The sequence below is a fragment of the Homo sapiens genome, chromosome 16 (genome assembly GCF_000001405.40).
Source record: "Homo sapiens chromosome 16, GRCh38.p14 Primary Assembly".
Classification (NCBI taxonomy): Eukaryota; Metazoa; Chordata; class Mammalia; order Primates; family Hominidae; genus Homo; species Homo sapiens.
In genome coordinates, this window is record NC_000016.10 from 5,226,392 (window position 1) to 5,243,974 (window position 17,583).

A 17,583-nucleotide genomic window follows, 5' to 3' on the forward strand; every position below is an offset into this window, starting at 1 on the left:
GTACAGCAGCTTTTGGGAACATAAGCTGATGTCATAGCTGGAAGGATCATCAGATAACCTAATCGGAGCCCCTCCTTTTTGGCAGTAGAAGGGTGGGTGGCTAGAACCCAAGAAACTGGAGCAGCTTGCCCAAGGTCACCCTCAAATTAGCGGATTCAAATTTAAATTTAAATTTAAATTTAAATTCAAATTCAAATTTAAGTCTCCCCACTTCCTTCTCCTGTGCTGTTTGCATTACAGGAGACACATCCCAGTTTATAAACAAAATGTACCAACCACCTAACCCCAAATGACCCTGATGGTAAGGCCTGCCATTTATCCAACTAAAACCAAGTATGCTTTGATTTTTTTTTTTTTCCTTGAGACAGAGTCTCACTCTGTCACCCAGGCTGGGATGCAATGGCGTGATCTCGGCTCACTGCAACCTCCGCCTCCAGGGTTCAATCAGTTCTCCTGCTTCAGCCTCCTCAGTAGCTGGGGTTACAGATGCATGCCACCACACCCGGCTAATTTTTATATTTTTAGTAGAGATGGGGTTTTGCCATGTTGGTCAGGCTTGTCTCGAACTCCTGACCTCAGGTGATCTGCCCACCTCGGCCTCCCAAAGTGCTAGGATTACAGGTGTGAGCCACCATGCCTGGCCCATGTATGGTTTAATCGAAGTCACTTTCCTTTACTTTAGTACTTTGCCCACATAGAGAAGAAATAATCAGCACTGTCTTCATAAAAATTATTTGTTGAGATCAGAAGAGAGGGAAAATTAATCTCTAAATTTGCTGCACTCGAATTCATGTAACTTCTCAAACAGGATGAGTTTCTTTTCTTTATGTTGTGCTTGCCTTCTGTACCCTCATGCATATGTCTGCCACTTAGTAGCTGTGTGATCCTGATCCCTGATCGCATTACTCAGTCACTCTGAGCCTCAGCATTCTCATCTGTGTAATGAGAACAGTGCCTGCCTCATCAAGCTGTCATGACTGGATGGCATGAGGCATATAAAGCAATCAACAGTGCCTGGCCATATCAGTTGCTCACAAATGTTAGCTCTTTTTTGATATTTGCACAGAAGAAATGAATGAGCTCTTCCCCATTGGATAAATGTCTGCTGTTCTGTATTTCACTTTCAGACTGACCTTGCCTGCCTCTCATTTTACTACTAGGATTGTTCATGGACACCTCTCTCTGTCTAATCCCCACCCCTCACCTTCAGCATAAATGCACACACAGCACCTGTATGCACATTTGGGTGTACAAAACACAGACTCTCCTTTTCAAGTTGCAAGTAGGAGTAAGAGAGAGTAGTAAAATGTGGGCAGTAAGAAAGAATGTGAGTCCTTACTTTTTTTTTTTCTGTTTTTTGATGAGACAGGGTCTCCCTCTGTCACTCAAGCTGGAGTGTAGTGGTGCAGTCATGGCTCACTGCAGCCTTGACCTCTGTCGCTCAAGTGATCCTCCCAACTCAGCCTCTGGAGTAGTTGGGACTATAGGCACATGCCATCACATCTGGTTAATTTTTTTATTTTTTGTAGAGATGGGTTTTCGCCATGTTGCCCAGCTTGTCTTGAAATCCTGGGGTCATATGATCTTCCCACCTTGGCCGCCCCCCCACAAAGTTCTGGGATTACAGGCATGAGCCACTGCACCCAGCCATGTCCTTATTTCCTAGCCCTTTTATTCTCCAGTGTTTTCCCTGCCCTGGACTGGGGTAGGAAATGTCATGTTTTGAGTTAGTGCAGCTTGGGACCAATGTGTGTAGTGTGGACTTCACTATTGAACCCTTTTGATTCTTTGTCTCTTTTCCAGAGGCTTGGCGCCCAAATCAATCAGATATCAGAACCCAGACAAGGTGTTCCCAGGTGGCGCTTGTGCCTGGGACCCACATAAGCTGTGTTTTCTTGCCCAGCTGGATGGTGTCCCGGTATCTGTCATAGAAGCTTCCCTCCTTGGGCACAACCTTGTCATCACTACAGGTGTGTTCAACAGCACTAAAGAGAGAGGAGGAGAAGAGAGGAAGGAAGAAGGGGTAGAGAGGAGGGAGCAAGTGGGAGTGAGAGGGATGGAGGGGGAAGAGGAGAAGTCTCAGAAATCTGCAATCATCCACTGCCTGGGAGGGAAAGGGGAAATCTACTCTGGCCGTGGTGCTGAAGTACAAGTGCCCTGCAAAGGACTTCAAGGCAGCAACCAGGCCAGCAAGAAATGAGAGGGAGAGGGAGAGGGGGAGGGGGAGGGGAGGGAAAAAGGGATGGAGAAAGGAATGGAGGGAGAGAGATAGAGCGAGGGAGGGAGGAAAGTAGAAATAAAAAGGGAGGGAGTAAGAGAGAGGGAGGGAGGGAAACGGAGGAAGGAAGAGAGAGAAACAGAGGGAGAGAGAGAGAAAGGGAGGGAGAGAGAAACAAAGATGCAGAAGCAGGGAGAGAGAGAAAGAGACAAGGGAGGGAGGAAGAGAGCGAGAGAGAGAGAGAGAGAGAGAGAGAGAGAGAGAGAGAGAGAAAGGAGAGAAGGAGAGAGACAGAGAGGGGCTGATAGAATGCTAACCCCTGCCTAGATTAGGGGTCAAATGCCAATGCCACAGGTTCATGTTGGGGAGACACACTTTTTTTTTTGCCAGCATTTTTGTTCACTTCCCAAGGAGGCTTAAATTATGTGTGCATGTGTGTGTGTATGTGTGTGCATAAGAACAGGGATTATTACTATATGAATTTTACTCCATGTTGGAGGCATTGGTTGGGACATCATCTTACTTGTGCCTATAAAACAGCGGGGCGGCATAGCTGGGGCACGGACATAGGCAGCCCTGCCCATGGGGACACCATAGCTTTGCTCACAGTGCAGGAGGCCAGCAGCTCTGTGGGAGGGACAATGAAAGATGCTTCTGTTGTGTCTTCTGAGGCCTTGGCTTCTAGGTCAGCCCAAGAGGATGGGGGATTTTTTACTCTGTTTTGATGATCAAGGGTGTCTCCCAATCCCCGTGGTTGCCTATTTGGTTTGCTCTAGTTTAATCTTCTAGGGGTAACCAGGGGTTTGCTCTCTGCCTTCTGTGCCTCACAGGGACTTCTGGGATCTTGCTGGCTTCCATGAACCTCAGGGATTTCCATGCAGGAGTAGAAGATAATAGGCATGTGGCTGCATGGTGCCTCAGAGCTCAGGTTCAGGAGCCAGATATGCCTGCATTGAAGTCATTTCTGACCTTCACTGTGGTCTTGGATGTGGTCTCTTCTTGTTTTGTTACTGATGCAGAGATGGAGGCCCCTGGGTGGTGACTGGTATCTGAAGAAGAGAGAATGAAGGGGGTAAGGCTTTTTGTTAATGTCAACCCTGAAATTATTACACAATGCACCATGGTTCTTGCTGGTCCTAAGCAGTCAGCTTGATCTTATAGTGATTCCCCAGAAAGTTCTGGAAGGTAAGTGTCTTTGAGAGGTTACCAGCATGGGCTTGAGGCAGATCATTGAGATGCGAGTCCCAGCTCCATCCTTTACTAGCTGGGTGACCTTGGACAAGTTGTTGAACTTCTCAGAGGTTCATCTTCCTCATATGTTAAAAGGGAATAATAATAATATCCACCTCCATGGTTGTAAAAAAGATTATTTATTTTTATTTCTTATTGAGACAGGGTCTCACTGTCATCAAGGTTGGAGTGTAGTGATGCAATCAGCACTCACTGCAACCGCTACCTCCAGGGCTCAAGTGATCCTCCTGCCTCAGCCTCCCTAGTAGCCGGGACCACAGGTGTGTGCCACTACACCTGTGTAATTTTTGTATTTTTTTTTTTGTAGAGATGGGGTCTCACTATATTGCCCAGGCTGGTCTCAAACTCAAATTCCTGGGCTTATGTCATCCACTTGCCTTGGCCTCCCGAAGTGCTGGGATTACAGGCATGAGCCACTGAGCCTGGCCCTATAAAGAAGATTAAATGAACTAATATACACAGAATGTTTAGAACAGTGCCTGACACAGAGTAAGCTTTAAAAAATATCAGCTATTATTTTTTTCTTCAATTTTTAAGTTTCAGAGGTACATGTGCAAGACGTGCAGATTTGTTACATAGGTAAATGTGTGCAATGGTGGTTTGTTGCACAGAACATTCCATTACCTATGTATTAAGCCCAGCACCCATTAGCTAGTTTTCCTGATGCTCTCTCTCCTCCACCAACAGGTCCCAGTGTGTGTTGTTCCCCGCATGTGTTCATGTGTTCTCATCATTCAGCTCCTACTCATAAGTGAGAACATGTGGTATTTCGTTTTCTCTTCCTGCGTTAGTTTGCCGAGGATAACAGCTTCCAGCTCCAACCATGTACCTGCAAAGGACGTAGTCTCATTCCTTTTTATGGCTGCATAGTATTCCATGGTGTATATGTACCACATTTTCTTTTTTTTTTTTTTTTTTGAGACAGAGTCTTGCTCTGTCACCCAGGCTGGAGTGCAGTGGCTTGATCTCGGCTCACTGCAAGCTCCGCCTCCTGGGTCACGCCATTCTCCTGCCTCAGCCTCTCCAAGTAGCTGGGACTACAGGCGCCTGCCACCATGCCTGGCTAATTTTTTGTATTTTTTAGTACAGACGGGGTTTCACCGTGGTCTGGAACTCCTGACCTCATGATCCGCCCGCCTCGGCCTCCCAAAGTCCTGGGATTACAAGCGTGAGCCACCGCGCCCGGCCTATGTGCCACATTTTCTTTATCTACTCTATCATTGATGGGCATTTAGGTTGATTCCACTTCTTTGCTATTGCAAATAGTGAATATCACTTATTATTATTTTACTAATATTATTACTGTTGTGGCTCAGAAAATGATAACCCAAAATTTGGCACTTTGACGTGCTGAATGCTTTGAACTGAAATAGGAAGGCCTCAGAAATAAGTCTCAGAACCAAGGTCTCTCTGACCTTCCCCTGCTCCCCATCTCTCTATCTCTCTGATCCTCTTTCTTTTCTCAAGCACAGGGAGGGACTCTCTCTGAAATTTTCTTGTTTGACTAAAGAAACTTCTTTCCAAAAGAAATACGTTCGTCTTAAGACCCCCTCCCTAGGAATCTCATCGAATAACCACCAGAGAAGAGACTAAAAGTCGTCACCATGCTGAGACAGACTTTTCATCTATTCTTCTGAGGGCAGCTCTAAGAGATTACCTGGGAGACCTTATCTGCATAATAAGACAACCTTTGCTCACAGTAAAGTTCTGCCCCTTACCTTCCCACCACCTCCACCAGAGCTCTGAGGGATGTTGTCCCAGGCCATTGTTCTTTGGGCTCATTTATTTCCCTTAGAAATTATATACTACCCCTAAAATTACCTACAGGCCCTTTATTTACCTTCCCACTAAGAAAATAGTATTTAAGCCTCAACGACCTGGTCTCTTTTTGAGCCTCATATTTGCAGGACTCCGGCATCCATATACACACCAAGAAATCTGTATGCCTTTTTTTCTCCTGTGTATTGTTTATTTATCAGTCATTTCAGTGAACCTTCCGTGGGCAGAGAGGACACTTTTCCTCTGTCCCTACATTACCATGGCTCTTGTCAACTAGAAAGCATTAGGAACTAATGTGTACTTCCTGTCCTCAGTTTCCTTATCTGAAAAACGGGGCTGCTGATAATAGTCACTTCGGTAGCTCAAGAAAGAAATAAGAGAGATCACACAAAGTGCCCCCACACAGTGTAGGCACCCAAAATATGACATTTTCCCCTTCCTCCTTTCTTTGGTCATATTCAAGATCGAGGTATATCAAATATTGGCATAAATGCACAGTTTGGTGGTTCTTGCCTTTTTGAGGGGTCATGGGTCCAGAATCACATCTCCCTCTCAGGGTTCAATAATTCAATGAACTATAATGGGTTTTTAATCTTATTGCCCAGAAAAACCCATATTAATTGCTTCTTTACACAATACATTAAATACAATTTTCTAGGAAAGAAAATGTGACCGACAAAAGTGGGTTATTAAAAGTCAAACTCTCAGCCAGGCACAATGACTCATGTCTGTAATTCTAGCACTTTGGGAGGCCAAGGCAGGAGGATCGCTTGAGCCCAGGAGTCCAAGCCTTCAGTAAGCTACATTTGCACCACTGCACTCCAGCCTGGGTGACGGAGTGAGAACCTGACTCTTATAAATAATAATAATAATCAAAATTGGACTCTGGTGATGGTGAGATGTGGAGAGTCTGAGTGCTTGGCTGTGGATCTGTGCAGAAGCTTCTGAGCCCAGAATCTCTGCCGTTCTGGGACTCACTGTTGTCATCCTATGGCTGCCCTAGGCCCCGTTTGAGGCCGTCTGATGGCTGAAGACAGGATGGTGTTGGGTTGAAGGGGACTTCCTCCTTCCCCAGTGCTGTCTTGCACACACACAGGCTGTGTGGGCATTGCCTTTAACGTTCTCTTCTCTAAACTCTGCAATTTACGGTGCAGCCGCACCAGGGAGAAGGCAGGGATTAGTCTTTGTTGGAAGAGCTGTTGCATGTATTAAAAGGCTCCTGCAACAATCAGCACCCCACAGCAGGAAACAATGAGACACAGCCCATGCCCATTTCCTTCTTCTTCTTCTTCTTTTTCTTTCTTTTTTTGTTTTTTAAGACAGAGTTTCGCTCTAGTTGCTCAGGCTGCAGTGTAATGGCGGGATCTTGGCTCACTGCAACATCTGCCTCCCGAATTCAAGCAATTCTCCTGCCTCAGCCTCCTGAGTAGCTGAGACTACAGGCATGTGCCACCATGCCCAGCTAATTTTTGTATTTTTAGTAGAGAAAGGGTTTCACCAGGTTGGCCAGGCTGGTCTCGAACTCCTGACCTCATGTGATGTGCCCGCCTTGGCCTCCCAAAGTGCTGGGATTACAGGCGTGAACCACCACGCCTGGCCTGCCCATGCCCATTTCAGCAGAACAAGAGGAGGGGAGATTCAGATAATCGAGACAAATATACATGTGCCCAAATACCCAAGATGCCTCTCAGAAGGGCTAGCAGCCATGGTTTAGATAAATGCTGATGTCTGATGTTTGTTTTCTTGTCCCTGCAGATGTCTGCTCACTAAGTTGGTTCGAAGCTGAGGAGGAAAAAAATTAGGTGCTAGGATGCTGGAGAGATCCTCAGAAACCCCTCTACATGAATCATTTAAGTAGATGAAGAGCTAGATTGCAATAATCATTGGGAGGAGAAGAAGAATAAAACATGAGATTCCATTCACATCCCAGAATTAAAGGTAAAATGGGTAAAAAGTGACATTTTCAAACCTGGAATCACACTGGAACGTTATTTGCATCTTGATAGTTAACAATAAAATTTAACAATAAAAATAGGGCCAGGTGTGGTGGCTCATGCCTGTAATCCCAGCATTTTGGGAGGCTGAGGCAGGAGGATTGCTGAAGCCCAGAAGTTTCAGACTAGCCTGGGCAACACAGGGAGGGACCCTCTGTTTACAAAAAATAAAAAAAAACTAGTCAGGCATCCTGGCATGCCTCTGTGGTCCCAGGTACTTGGGAGACTGAGGAAGGAGGATCACTTGAACCTTAGGAAGTAGAGACTGCAGGGCTGCAGTGAGCTGAGATTGCACGACTGCAGTCCAGCCTGGGCACAGGGCGACAAACAGAGTGAGACCCTGTCTCTAAAAAAAAAAATCAATCAATTTCCAGCAGCACCATGGTTGGGCTGAGAGAAAGCTTGCTGATGACCCTGGGGAAGCTATAATCCCTGTGTAATTTACAGGTGCTGGCCACATAGAGACATACATGTTCCAAATGAGGTGGAAGTTGAGAAGCTATAAGCAGAGATAGGCGGGCATCTGGGAGTATGGGCTGGGAAGAGTGAGGCATCCTGGCCCCAGTAAGATGGAAAGTAAGATAGGACTCATGGAATTCTCAGCAGCAGTGCAGGGCTGCAGAAACCCTGACTTGTCAGTTCAGTATTTTGGGGGTATGGTTGGCTTTGGGGTCATGGCCAGCCGCTAACGACCACTGAGGAGGGGGTGTGTGTATGTGGGGGGTAAATTATTACCCCTGCTGGGATTTCCCATTGGAGAGGAAGCAGCGACACCTTGAGCTCAGGGGTGCCCTTATGGGGGCGCCTGTGTAGGGTGAATAGGCGGGAGCTCTGGGAGAGCAACTGTCTCATCCAGATGGAGTCTTGGGGACTCACCTGAGAATCTAAGGCAGGCGTTTGTGGGAAGAGGGTGGTTCTAACTGCTGGGCTCCTCCCCTCGCCTCCTAAATGGCTAAGTTTTCAAGAGGGATTTCAGCAGGGAAGCCAAGCCTTGGGGTTTATTTTCCTCACGCCCTAATTCACGATCAGCTTAAGATGTGGGTCTCGAAGCTTCTGACGGCCGATCTGGCTGCACAGTGAGCTGCGGCTGTTCCCCAGCCCTTGCCTCCAATGTCCCAACCTTGGCCCACAGTGTCATCAGCATTCAGGCTCCCACCTCTTCTTCACCAGGACCTCATCCAACTTCAGGGCTAGACTCACCTTCTTTTTGAGGGAAGTACGTGGGCTGGCCGGGCGCGGTGGCTCATGCCTGTAATCCCAGCACTGTGGGAGGCCGAGGCGGGCAAATCATGAGGTCAGGAGTTCAAGACCAGCCTGGCCAACATGGTGAAACCCCATCTCTACTAAAGATACAAAAAATTAGCCGCGTGTGGTGGTGCAAACCTATAATCCCAGCTACTTGGGAGGCTGAGGCAGAAGAATCTCTTGAACCCAGGAGGCAGAGGTTACAGTGAGCTGAGATTGCACCATTGCACTCCAGCCTGGACAACAGAGTGAGAGACTGTCTCCAAAAAAAAAAAAAAAAAAAAGTACGTAGGCTAATGATATTTAAAAACAAACACTTTTTGAACCCTTATTAGGTGTCAGGATTAGAGCTTTACATGCATAATTTTGTTAAATTCTCAAAACAATCCCACCAGGTACTGTCGTGATGCCCATTTTACAGATGAAGAAACTGAGGTTTCCAGAGGTCCAGTCCCTGCCTGAGCTGATGCAGTTACGAAGGCTGAAGCCCGGACTTGATTTGAGTTCGGCCTGCGGAGCCCCGGCTGAGCTACCTGCCTTCTAGCCCCACGGTGGAAAGGGAGAATCCAGACATCCTTGAGACCTACCCAAGGAGTTTCCCTGTTACTGCCCTGCCATCCTTCTGATGCCACCCTGTTCCGTATCTGGCTGGAGCCAGCGTGGTTGTGTCTGGGTTTGGCTCCATAGTAGATGTTCTCGGTGGCCTTACTATTCCTGTGCACGCCGGCCACTTTTGCCTGAAGCTCTCTGTGGCTGCCAATGCCCACTTTGTTGAAAGTACTTGGAAATTAAGACCCTCTAGGGAGTATCTCTGAGTTGTGCCTGGTGAGATTTCATGAAGGAATGGCCCAGCTCCTGCAGACCTAGGCGGGATGTCTGAGGTGCACCTTCTACACGCTCTTTCAGTTGGATTAAGTCCTAGGATGCCCACAGGGGTCACTGAGAGGTTAACAAACATTTTTTTTTTTTTTTTTTTTGAGATGGAGTCTTGCTCTGTCACCCAGGCTGGAGTGCAGTGGCCTGATCTCAGCTCACTGCAAGCTCCACCTCCCAGGTTCATGCTATTTTCCTGCCTCAGCCTCCTGAGTAGCTGGGATTACAGGCGCCCGCCACCACGACCGGCTAATTTTTTGTATTTTTAGTACAGACCAGGTTTCACCGTGTTAGCCAGGATGGTCTCGATCTCTTGACCTTGTGATCCACCTGCCTCGGCCTCCCAAAGTGTTGGAATTATAGGCTTGAGCCACCACGCACAGCTGACATTTCCACTTTTGTCTTTTGGCCCAGATGTTGACATTTTCTGAGCTCCCAAAGAATTTACAGACATTTTTCCTAGGTCAGAGTAAAAGGGATCCCCTTTGTTCTGGATCTTCTGTTGCCTTGATCATCAGATCAAGTTGAGGAAATGGTCCCTTGGGAAGCTAATCCCAGTGGCTTGGTAAACTTACACCCTTTCTTTTGATGTCAGGCCTTTTAAAACATCAGGGCCACTTTCCTTTACTTGTCCAGGATGGAAACATTTGGCAGCACTTTTTGCAATATCCTTCCATTCAACAGCCACATGCCCCAGCTGAGGGCTTGGCACCATGGAAAAGCAATGAAGATTCAAGAACGAACCAGCTTAGCACACGTGATTTTTAGGGCAGTGAGACTATTCTATGTGACACTGTAATGGTGGATCCAATGGTGGATGGTCACATCCATCCAAAGAATGTGCAGCACACCAGGAGAGAAACCTACACTATGGACTTAAGAGTAATGTATCAATATTGACTCATCAATTGCAACAAATGCACTACATTAAAGCCACATGTTAATAACAGGGGAAACAGGATGGGAGGATTTGAGGGCATATATGGGAACACTATACTTTCTGCTCATTTTTCTGTAAAGCTTAAGCTATTCTAAAGAATAAAGTCTATTCATTAAACAACAAAAATGAATGAGCCTTTGCCCTTACAGAATTCACCGTCAAGAGGAAGAGGAGGCTGGGTACAGTGGCTCACGCTTGTAATCCCAGCACTTTGAGAGGCCAAGATGAGCAGATCACTTGGGCCCAGGAGTTCAAGACCAGCCTGGACAACATAGAGAAACCATACCTCTACAAAAAATACAAAAATTAGCTGGGCGTGTTGGTACATGCCTGTAGTCCCAGCTACTCAAGAGGTTGAGGTGGGAGGATTGATGGAGCCCAAGAGGTTGATGCTGCAATGAACCATGATTTTGCCACTGTGCTCCAGCCTGGGCAAGAGAGTGAGACCCTGTCTGGAAAAAAAAAGAGGAAGGGGAGACGAGCAGATAAGCCGATCATGTCAAGGTATGCTGCAGACTGGGACACAGTCTGTCCAAATTAAACCTCAGGAAGGAAAATATTTATGATACACACCAGAGAGAGTCTATGACTAGCTGGTGGCCCATGTCCTTTTAATTGTCCCTAATTTTCCTGCCTAGTTTAAATGCTGCAAAACATGGGGTTGACACTCTGAACTTGGGCACCGGAATTGGGTCAGGCTGCGTGGGTGGGGACTGGAACCCTGAATTATAGTTTTCTTTCCAGAGATGTCAGAATGTTTCATGAATAAGAGCACAGCTTCTATGTTGGATACCCTGAATTTGAATCTCAGCATGGCCACTTTGTATATAACCAGAGGATGAATTGGGGACCCAATGGATCTACCATGACATGAACCTGCACCAACATTCACCTGACCTCCAAAATGCCTATTCTGACTGGTAGACCCTAGTCTCGCCCTAGTGCCAGTTCAGAGCCTGTGTCCAGTGATCCTGCACAGGTCCCATTAGTTCCTATTCCCCTGTTCAGTCATCCTGGTAAAAGGCTGTGTATTCCTGTGGGGGCAGGCTGGGAGAAAGATTGACAGTATAAATTTTTGGCAGTGGAGCAGAGTCCTTTCTGGAGGGGACCTGGCTTCACATTCAGACAAGGGACTCCTGGTCTGTGAACTGGCTTATGTCTGGGAATTGACTGGGGACTGTGACTCTGTTTTTATGATTCAGGTTAGACTTCTGCTCACCTGACCTAGAACTCTTCTGCAAACACAGATCAAGTAAAAATGTGGCAGGCTTCTTATCTATTTCACTTCTAGGAAAGCCACGATCAGCTGGCACCATAGGTCTCTGCGAGTCATGCTATTCTGCTTGCAGCTTTGACTCTGCTGTCCTTTATGGTAACTGCATCCACCTTGCCTTTGGGGATTGAGTGCTGCGGTCACTTGGCCCCGGCCCCTGTAGTGTGCCTATGTCACTTACCCTCTTTATACCTCAGTCTCCTCCTCTGTAAAATGGGCATCCTAATAACACCCACCGCCAGGGCTGCTGTGAGGTATAGATGGATTAGCATATGGAAAGTAATAGAAGAGGGTCTCAAAGCCCATGTGTCATTATCAGAATTATTTCATGACAGGGGAGAGCTGGAGGAGAGGGGAAGGTGCTGAGCAGACCCATGTGCTCTCCCACCAGTGTTTCCTGAGCACCTACTATGTGCTGCCCACTGTGAGAGCTGTTAGGGTTGAAATAGGGAGCACAGCAGGGTAGGGGCTGCCATCAGGAGCTTAGTGGGGAGACCATTGTGCAACATGGTTCCAGCGCTTGGGATGGGGAAGCTCAGGGAGTACAGGGGCCTAGGATCCTGGGCAGAATCATGGAAAGGACACAGCCTCCCCAGCCTCTCCTGCCTCCACTGTCTCCCTGGCCTCCTCTGCTTCCCTGGGCTCTCCTGCCTTCCTGGCTTCCCCTTCCTCCCCGGCCTCCCCAGTCTCCCCTGTCTCTCCTGCTTTTGAGGTAGGCCAGGAGCTGCGGGTGCTCACTTAGCCTGTCCTGGACTCTGGGTGTAGCACCTCGATGTCCAGAAAATACCCCCGGGTTCAGCTCATCACACAGCCAAGGAAGGAGCTCGCTCCACACTGACACTAACGGTGCATCCTGGGCTCATTCATCGGGCACGCCTCCAAAATATTTCTCTACGTCTCCTCCCTTTGCCCACCTGCATTGTCTCTGTGCCTGAGTCCTGGCTGGGGGCCTGCAAGGATCCCCTATCTCCTCTGTCCCTGCACAGCTGGGTTCCAGGCAATCTGTCTGCCCACCACACCTCTCTCCCCTTGCCCAGCATGCTCCAGCCCCACAGTCCTCTTTCTGCTTCTTTCCCAGCCTCTGGGCTTTTGCACACGCTGTTCCCTCTGCCTGAACACCCTCCACTGGGCTGAGAACAACTCTGAGACCTCTCTCAGCTGTTGCTTCCTTTGGAACAGCCGCTGCTGTTGTCCCTCTCGCAGCTCCAAGACCTGCCGAGCCTCCTGTCTTTTTCAGTTCCCATGCACCCAGCACTTCTCCTTGGCCTCCTTTTGCCCAATTGACAATGTCCATTCTCAATGCCTTCTCACCCAGCGCTGAGCCCCACTGGGTGAAGGCAATGCCTGTCATGTTCACCACAATATCCCCTCCCCCATCACCACGCCTGGTCCACAGTGATGCTCAAAAAAGATCTGTTGGTAGGCAATGGGAAGGTGCATTCATGTCATCCTGCAGGCGGAATTCTCCACTCGGTTTTCCCACTACCTCCAAATCATGCAAGACACAGGGTAAGAGCAAAGACAAGGTGGCTGTGGCCCATGTCCACCCTCTCGGGGCGTCCCTTCTCTTCTCTCCTCCTTGGGCAGGGAGACCATCGGGGTGCAACCTGGCTGGGGCGGGGAGGAGGTGCACGGCCTGGCCGGAGCGGGTCTGGCCACGGGTAGGGGAGAGCGACCGCCTGGGCCGGGGCAGGTGAGCGCAGCGCAGGCCCGGGCCCGGCGTGTCCGCGGTGCGGGCGAGCGGCCGGCAGAGGGCGCCAGAGAGCCAGGAGCGGCCCGCGGAGGAGCCCGCGCCGGCCCCGATGCCCAGCTCCGCGCCGCGCGGACCCACCGAGCCCGCGCTCAGACGCCCCAGCTCCGCCGAGAGGCCGCTCGCGCCGGGTCCTTCCTCTTCCCCAAGTGCAGGCAGAGCCCCCGGAGCCATGGCCAGCCCTTCCGGCAGCTCCGAAGCCACTGGCAAGCCCCGAGGCAGGGATGGCCGGCCCAGGAGGGAGGAGGACGACGTCCCTCCCGAAGAGAAGAGGCTGCGGCTGGGGCTGGAGGGGGGAAGCGCACAGCCCGAGGACTGCGAGGACGGGAAGGACGCGCCGCGGCCGGGCAGGGAGGAGACCGGCACCCAGACAGGTGGCGACGGCAGAGGAGTAAGTGACGCGGGCGCGGGGGTCCGGGGGTGCCGGGGGCGCGGGGGTGCCGGAGACGCGGGGTAGGGGCTGCGGGAGGCTCCGTGGCCGGCCCCGGGTTGAAGTTGGTAACTGAGTGGCAACTCCGGCGGGCGCGGAGTGACAGCTCGTGACGGCCTCCGAGACGCCAGCTGCCCCTTCTCGGCTGTGTGGCTTCGACTTCCTGATTCTCCCACGACGTCCCTGGCCAGGAGCCCCGTTGGACTCTGCGGCTAGCCAAAAGGGGAGGGGGAGCCCCGCGTCCTGGGGGCCCCCAGCAGGGGAAGGGGCGGGGGTTGCGCTGGGCATCCTGTCTGGGGCATCTGTCTGGGACTTTTGTCGGTCCCACCTGGCGGGGGGCTTATGGTGGGGGTAGAGGGGAAGTCCCTGGCGCCAGGCTTGGCCAAGCCCTGCTCTGCTGGGCTGCGGGCTGGCGGCGCTCACCCAGCTCCTCACCTGCCCCGCATCTTCCTGTTTTTCTTCCCTTTCTGGTTGGGCAGCGAGAGTTGAGAGGAGGCAGATGGCTTCCATCCCAGAAATCGCTCTCCTCTTTCCATCCCTACAGAGAGGGACAGAGAGGCAAAGTTCCTTGCATCCCTCGGGGCGCTGTCCCTGTGAGCTCCCGGTGTCCTGCACACGTGGGCCCCTGAGTGACCGGGCCCGTGTGCGTGGGATGGGGCTCCGTGGCCAGCCTGGCCTCCTGGGGTTCACTTTCTGCTTTCCTACCCCAACTCTTCCTGTGTGGCTTTGCTGGCCTTCCACTGGGGAGGCACGCGGGTTTGGAGGGCAGATGAGGGCCCCCTGGAGAGCTGTACCCCTCAGTGAGGGCCGCCACCTTGATGGTTTTTGATGGATAATGGGGTTGACCTCTTTGTTCCTTCCAAATGTTTTTATGTTTGACCATTTGCTCAGCTGAGCTTGTCTTAATAATTTGATTCGTGGTTAATGAGCCCCACATGGGAGAGAGGGCGGCCTTCATTCTGAACCCATTTGGGCAGCACGGGTAGCCGTCCTCGCCGTGGGCTGCCTCAGAGCCCCCCCTGCCCAGTCTTGGGGTTGCTCCCGGATGCTGTGTGGGAGGCTTGCTCCTGGTGACATCCTCATCTCCCCGTGCACGTTACTGCATTCAGAGCTTGGGTCACCTGGACACCGAACTCAGGTGAATTTTCTCTGAGATTCTGGGAGAAGGAGGACAGTTCTCTGGTAGGTTTTCCAGGGCCGATCACGGAAAGGATGAGACACAATTACGGTGGCAGTGTAACGCCAGGAAACTTTATTGCGTGAAGTCCCTCTCACTCCCTCTACCTCCCTCTTTTACGTGGACTCTGCCAAAGACCAGGATACTAGAATGCAGTGGAGTGACCAAGTGTAGTGGGACCTAGGGAACGTGAGTGTGGAGCCAGGCAGCTGGGGTTTGCATCCTGGTAATGCCCCTCCTTAGCTGGCTGACATGGCACACGCCAGTTACCCTGTCTGAGCCTTACTGTCTTCAGTGGCAAATGGATCTGTCAACAGGCCCCATTGCCTGGGGTTGTTACTGCTGAGATTAAGGGAAGCTCGTCCATAGAAGCACTTAGCGTTGTGCCTGGCACATAGTGTATGGTGGATAAATGGGACTTAGGACTGAAACTTACGCCTTGGTGTGTTTTGCAGTGATGTTTTGTTCTGGGGTGCATCACAAGAGACAAGGTTCTTGGCCGGGCGTGGTGGCTCAAGCCAATAATTCCAGCACTTTGAGAGGCCGAAGGGGGAGGATCGCTTGAGTCCAGGAGTTTAAGACCAGCCTGGGCAACGTGGTGAAGCCTCGCATCTACCAAAAAAAAAAATAATAATAATAAAATAAAAGCCAGGTATGGTGGTGTGTGCCTGCAGTCCCAAGTACTTGGGAGGCTGAGGTGGGAGGATTGCTAGAGCCTGGAAGGTCCAGCTGCAGTGAGCTGTCATCATGCCACTGCACTCCAGTCTAGGTGACAAAGTGAGACCCTGTTTCAAGGAAAAGAGAGAGAGAGAGAGACAGACAGACCCACAAGTGTCTTAAGCCAGAATCTCCATTAAAATGCTTTCTGGAGGCTAAAAGGATGATATATTGATAATGAAATATTTAAAAGGCAGAAACCCCACTGAATTTCTTGGTCCACAGAGGGAAATGTGAATTTCATGACCTGAAGGATGATGCAGGAACTGAACACAAACCATCCTTGTTTCCTGAATCTGAATATGCCACCCTCTTTTCATGGTGTCTGTATCTGCTCAGTCCGGCGGCCCCTCGAAAAGAGGGAATCTTGATTTTCAAACTTAAAATTTGGCCCAAAGCCCACTGCTGCCCACAGTGCCCGCCAGACACATTCCTCTTCCTTTTTAGTTTCTATGGGAATACTCTCTTTGAAGAACCCATGAAGCAGTGTCAGGCTGGTGTGAGAATCAGCAGCGATTTCTTTGAGGAGGAGAACCCGTTTCTTCACTCACAGGCCATGTCTGAGTGGATCAAGAAGAACAGAGTGCCCTTTTATGAGATTTTGTCTGCGTAGACCATTAGCTTGGTAAAAATGTCAAAACCATCCTCGTTCTTTAATAGCAGATTATTTTGGACTTTTCTCTGCAAGAAGCAGCATGGGCATTCAGATGCTTTTAAGGATAAAATGTTCTTTCTCATCACCAGGCCTGGTGCTCTGGATGGCTGAGGTTTTAATGTGACTGGGTGTCCCTTGGAGTGGCTCCCAGGCTGTGCTCTTGTGGTTGGGTGGCAAGGGGTTGCTTTATTTGGTGGTGGCTAGAGGATGTTTTAGCAGATAAATCGGGCCCCCAGGAGCCCCTGAGTGCCAAGTCCTGCTGCAGGGCATGTGATTATGGTGGGGACGTGGTGGGGGGTGGAGGGTGGAGGGTGGGGGGCATTGATTTCCTGCCAATATCAGAAGTTTCACTGGCTTCTTGTGTATCCACAAACACCCACCCCATTGAGAAGGCCTAGAAAACCTAGCCCTCCCCAAGCCTTTATTGACCGCTTGTGAATGATCCCAGGGTGTGTCTGACCCACAGCTGTTCCTGGAGGGAGAGAGAAGTCTCTCCTAGGTATTTGGTTATCAACCTTAACCATTTGTTGAGCCTTCCCCAAGACCAGGCACCTCGGCAGAGATTTCTGTGTTGTCAGGTGGAACCGAGCATTCAAGGGTAATAACTCACTGGAGTCACTGAAATCCCTGATGGACGCACCAGATAAAAGCATCCAGGGTTGAAACCAGATCAGGAAGGTTGTTGTCAGCCTGGGGCTCCTGTAGAGGAGCATCCGCGTTGCAGGTATTTTCCTTCTTGCTGAGGAGAAACCTGGGTTTCTCAGCTTTGGCACCGTCACAACACTTGGGGTGAGACCATTCGTGGTGCTGGTGGGGGCCGTCCCGTGTATTGTAGGATGGTTAGCGGCATCTGTGGTCTCCATCCTCTAGGTGCCATTCCCCCCTCCCAGCTATGGCTACCCCAGATGTCTCCAGACGGTTTCAAATGCCATGGAGCAAGGGAGTGGTACATGAGCAAAACCACCCCAGTTGAGAGCCATTGGTCTACACTTGTGGAAATGTTTGAGGGTGACAGTGTTGAGCTTGGGTCCCTGCTGTACCCTTTATGAGCCATGCGGTCTTGGAAAATTAATACTACTGCAGGGGACTCAGTTTTCTCATCTATAAAATGGAGATAAATGAGATACACTTTCATAGGAAGGTTATATGGGATTTACTGAGATAATAAGACAGTACATGGAAAATGCTGGGCATAGCATTTATTTATTTTTATTTTTTTTTAAGATGGAGTCTTACTCTGTTGCCCAGGCTGGAGTGCAGTGGCATGATCTCCGCTCACTG

General features: G+C 50.0%; 1 protein-coding gene and 1 long non-coding RNA gene across 5 annotated transcripts in view, besides 2 other annotated features; both read left to right on the forward strand.

Annotated features, from left to right (window-relative positions):
- LOC105371067 (uncharacterized) overlaps positions 1 to 10,426 on the forward strand; it is a 31,887-nt gene extending 21,461 nt beyond the window's left edge. The window contains exons 2-3 of the long non-coding RNA XR_001752067.2: positions 7,004 to 7,186; positions 8,883 to 10,426. This is a non-coding gene — a long non-coding RNA (uncharacterized LOC105371067). The remainder of the gene's footprint in view (positions 1 to 7,003; positions 7,187 to 8,882) is intronic.
- Positions 10,444 to 11,643: an enhancer, noted in NCBI's record as "BRD4-independent group 4 enhancer chr16:5286836-5288035 (GRCh37/hg19 assembly coordinates)". NCBI's record gives its function as "activates an origin of replication core promoter dependent on BRD2, P300/CBP, MED14 and CDK7 cofactors, and independent of BRD4, by STARR-seq in HCT116 cells {active_cell/tissue: HCT116}" and the evidence as "EXISTENCE:reporter gene assay evidence [ECO:0000049][PMID:35650434]".
- Positions 13,219 to 13,438: a silencer, noted in NCBI's record as "silent region_7175". NCBI's record gives its function as "represses an Ori minimal core promoter by ATAC-STARR-seq in GM12878 lymphoblastoid cells {active_cell/tissue: GM12878}" and the evidence as "EXISTENCE:reporter gene assay evidence [ECO:0000049][PMID:35858748]".
- Positions 13,330 to 17,583, forward strand: part of RBFOX1 (RNA binding fox-1 homolog 1) — a 2,473,620-nt gene continuing 2,469,366 nt past the window's right edge. For 2 of the 4 annotated variants that reach the window (NM_001415887.1, NM_001415888.1), the window contains exon 1: positions 13,330 to 13,714. In NM_001415887.1, the coding sequence (NP_001402816.1) occupies positions 13,376 to 13,714 (339 nt within the window). In that variant the 5' untranslated portion in view covers positions 13,330 to 13,375. The remainder of the gene's footprint in view (positions 13,715 to 17,583) is intronic. The other 2 variants (XM_017023318.3, XM_024450303.2) reach the window with 2 other exon arrangements.